Raw genomic sequence first — 12,010 nt, 5'->3', positions numbered from 1 at the left:
AACCTTCCTAAATACAAGTATACACTTATATATGCTTATAAATTAAAGAGTAAACAATATACATCTTGTAGATAAACATAGCACACGATTATAAAACATTATGATAGAGTTAACACAAATATATCCACCACATCAATAAATAAGAATGGCTTAACTCACTAAAAAAAAAAAATTTTTTTTTTTTTTTTTGAGACGGAGTCTGGCTCTGTTGCCCAGGCTGCCAGGCTGGAGTTCAGTGGCACGATCTCGACTCACTGCAAACTCCGCCTCCCGGGTTCATGCCATTCTGCCGCCTCAGCCTCCCGAGTAGCTGGGACTACAGGTGCTCGCCACCACGCCTGACTAATTTTGTTTTTGTATTTTTAGTAGAGACAGGGTTTCACCGTGTTAGCCAGGATGGTCTCAATCTCCTGACCTCATGATCTGCCCACTTGGGCCTCCCAAAGTGCTGGGATTACAGGCATGAGCCACCGCGCCCGGCCTAAAAAAATATTTTTAACTTGGCTCATGGAACACAACTAAAGCAAAGTCATTCAGAAAGGCTGAAAATAAAGGCATGGACAAAGATACTAAAGTAGAAATCGTATCACTCAACATAGAATACAAGCTAAAAAGCGTTAAGATGACGAAGGGTACCTGTGCTAAAATCCACGAGTCAAAATAACACTAAAACACTTACGAATACTCGTAAAACATTTACGAATAAATAACAAAGTAACTCCTTCTGTGAAAAACAGTACCTGGATAGTAACGTACAGATAATAGAAGACTTTAATATGCCACTCTCAGTATAAGATATGTCAAGCTCTCCAGCCCAAGACCAGCAGTATCACACCAGTAGGTAAACAGGTTAGGCTTAATGTTCATTGCAATGAGGAAAACTGCGCACTGTGGGGAATCATAAGGGATGTCAATAGAAAGGTATTAGAGAAGACTTATTCAATTTGTACTTAGGATATTTGGGGAGAGTTTACAGAAGAGTGCTGTCAGAATGTGGGGACAATTCTATTTGCATCTTAATAAATCTTATTCAGAAGGGAGGCAACTAGAGTGAGGATAAAGCTGTAATTTGTGACGAAGTAGGAGCCACTCACATCAGCTGGATAGCAAAAAATTTGTATTTTATGGTTTACCTAGTGACTTTGTTACTAATCGTGTGCTTAGACAACATTAGGAAGTGACCTTGTTTTTGGTCTCCCTTTATCACGGTCACAGAGCAATCTGTCAGACATCAGGCTGTTATTCCAAAAGGAGAAAAATGTGGCCTGAATGTGAGCACTTAGGCCAGCTATAACAACACTGAAGCCTTGTTCCTGAATGTCAGGGACTGCATTCCTTTTTTCTCAGACAGACAAAAAGTGGGCACAAAATCAGTAATAAGGTAGAAGAACTAAAAACATAACAAATAAAGCAAATTATATGGATATATACCAAACTTCACACCTTTATAAAAGGGCATATATCTTCCTCTCATATGCCCATATTACATTACCAAAATGTATACATATTAAGTGGCACTCTCATTTACACACAGAAACTATAGTAATTCCATAAAATAGAGATATTGTAAATAGTAATCTTTAATCACAATGCAGCAAAACTAGAAATTTTCAACAAAATCATAAACCAAAATGTCTTTTACTTGAAAACTTAAAAATCTCTATTAAATTTTTTTATAAAAAGAGATGTAAATTGTAACTATAGAATTTTTTTAAAGTGTCAGAATATACAGAGTGCATTTTAAAAGTTCTATCACCAAACATTTTTAATAGTAAACATTGAATAATAAAGATGAGTTAAGTACTTGTCTTAGTATGTTTGGGCCGCTATAACAAAACTATCATAGACTACGTGGCCTATAAATAACACAAATTTATTTCTTATAGTTCTGGAAAGTGAGAAATTCACAATCAAGGCACTGGCAGATTCAGTGTCTGGTGAGGACCCCTTTTCTGGTTCATAGAGTGAATCTTCTTGCCGGGTCCTCACCTGGGGGGCAAAGGAGCTCTCTGGGGCCTGTTTTGTAAGGGCATCAATCCTATTCATGAGAGCGCCATACTCATGACCTAATCACCTCCTAAAGCCCCTTCCTTTATTGGTGAGGTAGTATTATATCATCTCACTGAGGGTTAGTGACACAGGATTCTTTTGGTGCCACTTTGCCAGCTGGAAACCTCTGTGGCTGGTGGAGCCTCTGCCTGGGTTTCACTTGTGACCACTGGGCTAACTCTGCCCACTCAGCCTGGTAGGCTGAGTTCAGCTCATGCTACTGGCTTGGATTCCATGACCATCACAGGCAGGCCAGGTGTGGAGAGGTGAGGGGTACATGAGCAAGCGAGTGAGGTGTCCAGCCACAGTGCACAGCCAGGCAGACTGTGCTGTGGCAGGGCAGGAAGCTCCAGGAGGCAACACATGCATGAGCTCCATGTGAGGCTGCAGCTGGACCTGGCATGCCTCAATCGGCTTCTGCCTTGCGTGTCAGTGTCTGGACAAGGGGAACCGGGTGGTGCCCAAAAACTTGGAGATGCCAGTAACCTCAGAGCCCCAAGGGGGTATTACAGCATGCCACATCTCTGGCTTGGGAAGTCTCAAAGTCTGGGCCTCCAGAAGGGTTGCAGCGCTTGTCTCATAGTCTGATGAATGGAAATGTGTCACCACCCCAGCTCAAGGGCCAGCCAGGAATGTGTTTCAGCTCATTTGTGTTACAGCTCCTTCTATTCCACTGCTTCACTCCAGCCTGCAGCTTCTGGGCTGCCGCCCCCACCCACCCCCCACCCGCTACCACTTCCCATCACATGGAGAACCTGCCCAGCACTGGAAGAGGGAGGGAGGGCTACAGTGTTACACCTCCTTTTGCACCCACTATTTGGTGGGTTCCGGGTTCTTGTCCCGCATCCAAGAAGAATGAGGTTATATGGACAACTGAAGAGTGAGCAAGGTGGAGAAGAGTTTCATTGAATGGTAGAACAGCTCTCGACATGAGAGGGTACCTGAAGTGGGTAGCTCCTACCTGAAGGCTGGTAGTCCCCATGTGTGGCTGATTCTGGGGTTTTTATGGAGTCAGAATGGGGGAGTGTGTGCTGATTGGTCCATGGGCAAGCCTGGAAAAAGCACCATTCAGTTTGCTAAAAGGTGTAGAGGTAATTCTCACTCCAGGTGGTGGACTGTATCCAGGACTGGCACCCTGGTTTTCAGGCTGCAGGCTGTCTTTGGCTTGAAGGTGGGGGTCTCACCAGGGACCTGCCCCTATCTGCCTAGAATTTGTCTGCCTCCTGCTGCTATCATTAGAATTTCAACGTGTGAATTTTGAGAAAATACAAACATTCAGTCTAGCAGTACACAAAAAAACTAAAAAAAAACCCAATGTAAATAAAAAGAAAGCACAAAAAGCAAACACTAGAGGTAAAAGCTGAAATAAATGAGATGGAGAATAGAAAAAGAGTAGGTCTGATTATTTTCAAAATTCTTTTTTTTTAAATTAAGAAGTATCTACTAATTTGAGCAAATATAAAGCTATAAAGGGTAAACCAGAAACTTATGAAATTGCTTATCTATAGAGGATGGATGAAAATATGTTGAACATGAAAATAAAAGAATGGTATAGAAGAAATGAGGAAGGAGTGACACTCTGAGTATACCTGTTTACTTAGTTTGACTTTCAGTACCTTAGTGACATTTAACATATACAAAATATAAATAAGTAACTAAAAGCAACTAGGACCTGGGGATAACCTAGACAAAATAAGAATAGTAAGTAAGAAATAAACAAAGACAATTAGCGTAACTGTCTTAACAAAGTAGGGAAGACAAAATTGAACTAATTAATGTTGGAAAACAGCATTTTGACTTGATATTGAAAAGCCAAAACCCAGAAAAAAACATACACCAATATCCTGTTGCAGTTAGTAAGTTTTTCTTCACAAGGTTATGGGTTAGCAATTCTAAAGCTAATTTTTGTGTAAACATATTGTTCATGATGAGATACAGGTTTCTCATTGTTAGGGAAAAGAGTTAAAAATATGGACATGGGGAATACTAGGATGAACTCTGTGGTGTTAGAATGGAATAAAATATATACAGACATCGTATATTACATATACGCATATACTTATTATTTCCTAGCGTTGCTCACTGAGAAGCAGTGTTGCCTTAATAGTAATTAGCTAAGCTAGCTTCCATATCTTGGTTTCTAAATACCATTCTCCAATTAAAGAAATGAGACTAACTTGGAGACGTGGTAGATTCTAGGTCTGGGCAGAAGAAATTCAAGATACGCCTGCATGTTGAAAGAACACAGAAACCAATTTGATAGAGCTCCCAATAGTTACATCTGGGATAATTAGAGCAACAAAATGGATAATTACTATAATGGATGTAACTGATAGAATCAACTGAAAATCTGAAAATCTGTGAGTTCAATTAGTGATGTAGATGATCAGGAAGTAGATAAAGAAGGGGCACTCTCAGAGTAGAATCCTGAATAATAAATTGAAAATAATGATGGAAATAAAAATCAATATATGGCAGACAGCACAGTACTAATTGTGGTATCAGTGAATGCTAGAATTAGTGGGCAAAAGTATGAGATGTAGGATATTTTCATAGTCTCAAAATAGCTATCTAAAAGATACTTATTAGTTATACAGAAAAAATGCTAAAGTCATCAGTTAACATTACTAGTAACAGATACATTGCTATCATCTGTCTCCTGATTTGCTGTACTAAAAACATCACTTATGTGAAATTCTTACCAAAAATGCAAAACCTCAATTAAATAATGAGGAAACAGACATATAAAAGAAGAGCTAATCTATAAAATAACTGGCTTCTATCTATAAAATAACCTCTTCAAAAGGGTCAAGGTCTTGAAACAAACAATAAAAGAAACACCGTACTAGATTAGAAAAAAACGAGGAGATTTGGCATATAAATGCAAATGAGATCCTCAATTTTATCCTGGATCATAAAGGTATTAGTGGGACAAATGGTTTCTGTAGATTATTTAACAGCATACTATCACTGTTACTATCTGATTCTGATACTTTACTACAATTATGTATCATGCTACCTTTTAGGGAAGCTTAGTGAAGATAAATAGAAACTCTTTGTACTATGTTTATATCCTTCTATAATTATTTAAAAGTAAAAAGCTAAAAATTTTTAAAAAATACATTGTTGTTTGTGTAATAATTATAAAATTATATATTAAAAATTAATATATATGCACATGAGAATAATTTAGTGAAGAGGCTTGCAGAGAAAGATACATGAAGGAAGGTAAAAGTTAATTGGTTTTGGAAAAAAAAAAACTCTCCAGATGAGCAAAGGTCTTTAATATGCTAATTCAAACATTCCAGTAGGGAAATACAAAATGTAGTTCTTTCCAATCATATCAAACTTTTTTTCATGGAACCCCTTATTGACATAGGTTCCAAGAAATGCACTTTCTGAAACACTAATGCAAATATAGGTAGCCAAGGGAGAGTTTTTAGTATTGATAGGCATGAAGAGATTAGCCTTTGTAGAAGTTGAGTCCAGTCATCTGCTCCAAAACACAAATGTGCACAATGGGGATCTTAAACCATGTTTGAGCCTTCATTTCATTGCCAGTGCTCAGGTATATCTGGGCACATTTGATGAACTAGTGGGAAAGGCTGCAAAGAAGTTCATTTACACTGGGTTGAAGAGCCTCCTTGAAAAGACCTCATGCTTTTGGTCACATCTGGCCAACCCTAAAAGTGGCAGGAAGGTAGTTTTGAGGAATCAGTCAACAAAACAATAACAATGACAATGTTGACAATGCAGATAATGACAACCTAATTGTAATAAAATAATTTGCTAGGCATCATGGGCTTGAACTGTACAGAGAAACTTAGGTTTTAGATGGGTAAAGGAACAATGAATAGAGTCTCTCCTTGGCTAGGGTCTATGCTAGGTCTATGTCCCAGTGAGTTGGCATAAAACCTAAAAGATGCATTTCACTAAGCTGAGTAAAACATGGGGTACACTAACCCCATTCTGCCACCAGACATTTCCACAGAAGCACACAGCTTTGGCCACGAGTCCTTCAGCACTCATAGGTGATGCCAGCAGAGACCAGAGCTTTTTCATTGCTCTTTATGGTGGAACATTGGCAAAGATGACCAGTGGTAGCAGCTAGAAAAAACTTGATCATGAGCACATTTGTTATATACCTGAGCAACCCCCAAATACATACAGATTGTTGACATTGAGACAACTTAAGTTCTGGCCATTTTATGAACTGTTTTGAAGATTTTGCTAGGTGTTAGGGAGACCAGGAAAGAATAGCCTAAAAACTGTACTCTTCTGAACTGTCCTTCTTATAGAGCCATATAGAGATTGGATATGCTGTTCTTTGGTTTCAAGGTTGACTTGGCCTGTCTAGTAGGATTTCAATAAGCAGTAACTGAGTAAATCAGTAAAATCTGTGTAAATCAGAGAAGTCATCCAAATGTATTATGATTGCAAATGAGTATACCACACAATCTCTATGGCGAAACAAAACAAAGCAAAACAAAACTTGTTTCTTAATGTGCTGTCCTATATGTTATCAACACATTGTTATTTTACTCTCTCAAAGTGAAGTTAATGACCCTTGTACCTCTATCTGCCTGTGTGAGCATGAATGTGACATATAGGAATAGTGTTGGGAACATAGGGTAGAAAGGAGTGAGGTGACTGCATTTAAGTTTTTGACTTTTCTTTTTAATGTGTCTAGTTATATTTTGCTAGTGCCTCATCATTTGACCTTCTATGCCATTTAGTGGTAGATTTCTTATATATTTTCCTCATCAGAAACTGTGTCTGTAACTCCAAAGTCACAATTAGAGAGATGCATGAGTCATAAAATTCCTTTTATAGTTCTTTTGGATGGTTGCCTTTTATAACATCATTTATTCTTCTAAATATATTCCAGGCTACCCTTGTTTTTTTGTGTGTGTGTCTGCTAGTGTTTCTGTATACAACTATTTAGGACACACGTGTCTTTTAACTCAATTTCCCTTTTCCTGGATAAATATATTTTTTGGTTGCTTAGTTATAGTGCTACACGCACTGTCAAACTTAGAGTTTTAATGAATTTTCCTGATTTTCATGTTTCATGCAACTCCAATTCAAGCAAAACACCCTATTCATTTTGCCACTGAATAAGAAATGATCCAAGATAAAGAATATTCAAACTCCTCTCAGGTTTGCTAGTAGGGTTTTATTAACATCATTTTAGACAATTAAGATCCTTGTTAAGAATTCTCCTTCGTGGCTGGTCGCGGTGGCTCATGCCTGCAATCTCGGCATTTGGGAAGGCCAGAGTGAGCAGATCAGCTGAGGTCAGGAATTCGAGACCAGCTTGTCCAACATGGTGAAACCCCAACTCTACTAACATTACAAAAATTAGCTGAGTGTGGTGCTGGGTGCCTGTAATGCCAGCTACTCAGGAGGCTGAGGCAGGAGAATCGCTTGAACCTGGGAGGTGAAGATTACAGTGAGCTGAGAACATGCCACTGCACTTCAGCTTGGGCTACAGAGTGAGACTCCATCTCAAAAAAAAAAAAAAAAAAAATTCTTTCTAATGTCTAAGTTTTCCGTGCCCCTAAGTAGAATAAGCTGCCTTTGGAGTACACCTCTGGACCTCATCAACCATCTGTGCACATTTTCTCACTACTAGAGGATTTTCTATCCAACTTAAAAGTTCATTGTTCTTGCACAAAAATCTACCCAAGCTTTTGAGAAAGATGGATATGAACAAACCACTGAGATAGTTGACACCATCTATTATTCCTAGGACTAATGGAGATTTTGGAACTATTCTCCCCAAGTCTCTATTAGTCCTAAGAGTAGTCCCCAAATCTCCATTAGTCCTAGTCCTAGTGAACTGAACCCTATGATATAAATTCACTGAAACCTGAAGGGTATGAAATAATCATTATGTGTATAGATAACCTCAGATATAAAAAAGCAGCCTTTGCCTTCTTCCTATACACAACTGCCAAAACTATGTCTTCTATCCTGACAGTTATTCTAAGCTCTTAGAATAAATGTTTGTTTCTATAATATATATTTATATTTAACCATTATTTAAATGCCACATATGATAATATTTGTAAAAGGACAAATAATAATGTTTACATAAAGCTTTCCAAAGAATTTTTTCAGATGAATTATCTTATTTGATTTTTAAAACAAATATTGTAATAAATAGGGATTTTATTATTATCATTATTAATTTTCAGGTCTGGATATGAGTGAATTTAAATGATTTAGTCATGATCATACAAACACATATTAACAGGCTATAGGAAAAATGAAACATCTTACAACTACAAATACCAGGACTATTTCAACCATGCCATGCTGCATACTCTTACCATATTGATATATTTCTCTTAATTTCTCTTTTTTCTGTTATTGTCTACATATTTTTATAGTACTCAGTCACCTATATCCTTGCTAAATAGCAAGGAACGTGCTGTTTAGTAACTTTTTTTAGTTACTTGCTATTTAGTAACTTTTTTATAGTTTTTTACTTTTTTGATTTTTTAATTTTTTTTTGATTTTCAATTTTTGTGGGTACATAGTAGGTGTTCATATTTATGGGGTATGTGAAATATTTTAATACAGGCATACAATGCATATTAATCACACCATAGTTCATGGCGTATCCATCACCTCAAGCATTTATCCTTTCTTTGTGTTATAAACAATTCAATTATACTCTTTATTTTAAAATGTACAATAATTTATTGTTGACTGTATTCACCGTCATGCTATCAAATACTATATATTATTTATTCTACATAATTATATTTTTGTACCCATTAATTATTCCCACTTCCCCCTGCCGACTACCCTTCTCAGCCTCTAATAACCATCATTCTACTCTCTCCCTTCTCAGCCTCTAATAACCATCATTCTACTCTCTCTCTCTTTTATTTTCCTCTGTATTCAAAACCATCCTTCTACTCTCTATCTTCATGAATTCATTAGTTTTAATTTTTAGCTCTCATAAATAAGTCAGAGCATGCAAAGTTTGTCTTTCTGTTCCTGGCTAATTTCATTTAACATAATGACCTCTGGTTTCATCCATGTTGTTTGAAATGACAGGATCTCGTTCCTTTTATAGCTTAATAGTACTGCATTGTGTATATGTACCACATTCCATACATCTGCTGATGAATGCTTAGGTTGCTTCCAAATCTTGGCTATTTTGAATAGTGTTGCAATAAACTTTGGGGTGCAGATACCTTCGATATGCTGATTTTCTTTCTTTTGGGTATGTACCTAGCAGTGGGATTGCTGGATCATATGGTAGCTCTATTTTCAGTTTTTTGAGGAACTCTTTATTGTTCTCCATAGTGGTGGTGCTAATTTACATTCCCATCAACAGTGTACCAGGGTTTCCTTTTCTCCGCAAACTTGCCAACATTTGTTATTGTCTGTCTTTTGAATAAAAGACATTTTAACTGGGTAAGATGATATCCCATTGTAGTTTTGATTTGTATTTCTTGGATAATCAATTTTGTTGGGTATCTTTTCATATACATGTTTGCCATTTGTATGTCTTCTTTTAAGAAATGTGTATGAAAATATTCTGCCCATTTTTAATTGGAGTTTTAGACATTTTCCTATAGAGTTGTTTGAGATACTTAAATATTTTGATTATTAATCCCCTGGCAGATGGGTAGTTTCCAAATATTTCCTCCCATTCTGTTTCTTGTCTGTTAACTTTGGTAATTCTTTCCTTTGCTGTGCAGCAGCTTTTTAACTTGATGTGATCTCATTTGTCCATTTTGCTTTGTTTGTCTGGGCTTGTGGGGTATTACTTAAGAAATCTTTGCCCAATCCAAAGTTATGGACAGTTTTTCCAATGTTTTCTTGCAGCAGTTTTATAGGTTGTGGTCTTCGATTTAATTCTTTAATCTATTTTGATTTGATGTTTGTATATGGTGAGAGATAGAAGTTTGGTTTCATTCTTATGCATATGGATATCCAGTTTTCCCAGCACCATTTATTGAAGAGACACTTTTCCCAAATATACATTCTTAGCATATTTGTTGAAAATAAGTTCGCTGTAGATGTACAGATTGTTTTCTGAGTTCTCTATTCTGTTCCATTGGTCTAAGTATCTGATTTTATGCCAGCATCATACTGTTTTGTTTCCTATAGCTCTGAGTTTAATTTGAAATCAGGTAATGTGATTCCTTCAGTTTTGTTCTCTTTGCTCAGTATAGCTTTGGTATTCCAGGTCTTTTGTGGCTCCATATAACTTGTAGGATTGTTCTTTCTATGTTTGTGAAAAATGCCACTGGCATTTTGATAGATATTGAGTTGAATCCGTAGATTGCTTTGGGTAGTACAAACATTTTAAACAAAACTGATTCTTCCAATCCATGAACATGGAATGACTTTCCATTATTCTGTGTTATCTTCAGTTTCTTTCAGCAATGTTTTATAGTTTTCATTGTAGAGATCTTTCACTTCTTTGGTTAAATTAATTTCTAGGTACTTGATTTTATTTGTAGCTATTTTAAATTGGATTACTTTTTTCTTTTTCAAATTGTTACATGTTGGAATATAAAAATGCTACTGATTTTTGTATGTTAGTATTATATCCTGCAACTTTACTGAATTTGTTTATCAGTTATAGCAGTTTTCTTGTTGGAGTCATTATGTTTTTCCAAATATAAGATCTTATTATCTACAAACAGTGACAATTTGATTTCTTCCTTTCTGATTTGAATGTCCTTTATTTCTTTCTCTTATCTGATTGCTCTAGCTAGGACTTTCAGCACTGTGTTGAATAACAGTGGTAAAGTGAACATCCTTGTCATGTTCCAGATTTTAAAGGAAAGGCTTTCAGTTTGTCCCCATTCCATATGATACTAGCTGTGGGTCTATTGTATATGGCTTTTATTTTGTTAAGGTAGGTTCCTTCTATACCCAGTTTTTTGAGGGTTTTTACCATTTAGGGATATTGAATTTTACCAAATGCTTTTATAGCATCAATTGAAATGATCATATGATTTTGTCCTTCATTCTATTGACATGATTGATTTGTATATGTTGTTGAACCATCCTTGCATTCCTAGGATAAATCACACTTGGTCATGATGAATAATCTTTTTAATGGGCTATTGAATTCAGTTTGATAGTGTTTTGTGAGGCTATTTCAATGTTCATCAGAAATATAGGCCTGCAGTTTTCTTTTTTTATAAGTCTTTATGTGGTTTTGATATTAGGGTAATACTAGACTCAAAAAATGGGTTTGGAAATATTTCCTCCTCTGAGTAGGATTGGTGTTAGTTCTTTAAATGTTTGGTAAAATTCAGCAGTGAATCTGGGGCCTTTCTTTACTGGGAGATTTATTATGGCTTTGGTCTCGTTACTTGTTATTGTTCTGTTCAGGTTTTGGATTTCTTCATGGTTTAATCTTGTACAGTTGTGTGTCTAGGAATTTATTGATTTCTTCTAGGTTTTTCATTGCATTGGTATATAGTTGCTCATACTAGCCTCTAATGATCCTTTGAATTTCTGTGGTATAAGTTGCAATGTCTCCTTTTCCATCTCCGATTTATTTATTTAGGTCTTCTCTCTTTTTTTCTTAGTCTGGCTAAAGGTTTGTCAATTTTATCTTTTCAGAGATTCAGCTTTTTGTTTCATTGATTTTTGAATATTTTTGTTTTTAGTTTTATTTATTTCTGCTCTGATCTTTATTATTTCTTTTCTTCTATTTTTGAGTTGAGATTGCACTTGCTTTTCTAGTTCTTTAAAATGTATCATTAGGTTGTTTACTGAAAATATTTTTACTTTTTTGATGTAGGCACTTATAACTATAAATCCCTCTTAGTACTGCTTATGCTGTGTCCCATAGGTTGTGTATGTTTTATTTTCTTTATCATTTGTTTTTTAAAAAGTTGATTTCCTTTTTAGATGAAATTAAAATTTCTTCATTGATCCACTGGTCATTCAGGAGCATATTGTTTATTTCTATGTA

The 12,010-nt window shown here is 36.0% G+C and overlaps 1 annotated feature.

Moving 5' to 3' along the window:
* Positions 7,163-7,332: an enhancer, noted in NCBI's record as "experimental_73174 CRE fragment used in MPRA reporter constructs". NCBI's record gives its function as "activates a minimal promoter by MPRAs in K562 erythroleukemia cells, with activity observed for both the introgressed and non-introgressed 4:127760032 variant alleles {active_cell/tissue: K562}" and the evidence as "EXISTENCE:reporter gene assay evidence [ECO:0000049][PMID:34662402]".

This window comes from Homo sapiens, chromosome 4 (genome assembly GCF_000001405.40).
Source record: "Homo sapiens chromosome 4, GRCh38.p14 Primary Assembly".
Classification (NCBI taxonomy): domain Eukaryota; kingdom Metazoa; phylum Chordata; class Mammalia; order Primates; family Hominidae; genus Homo; species Homo sapiens.
The sequence above is the reverse complement of the archived record's forward strand: the minus strand, read 5'-3'. Positions and strand labels throughout refer to the sequence as shown.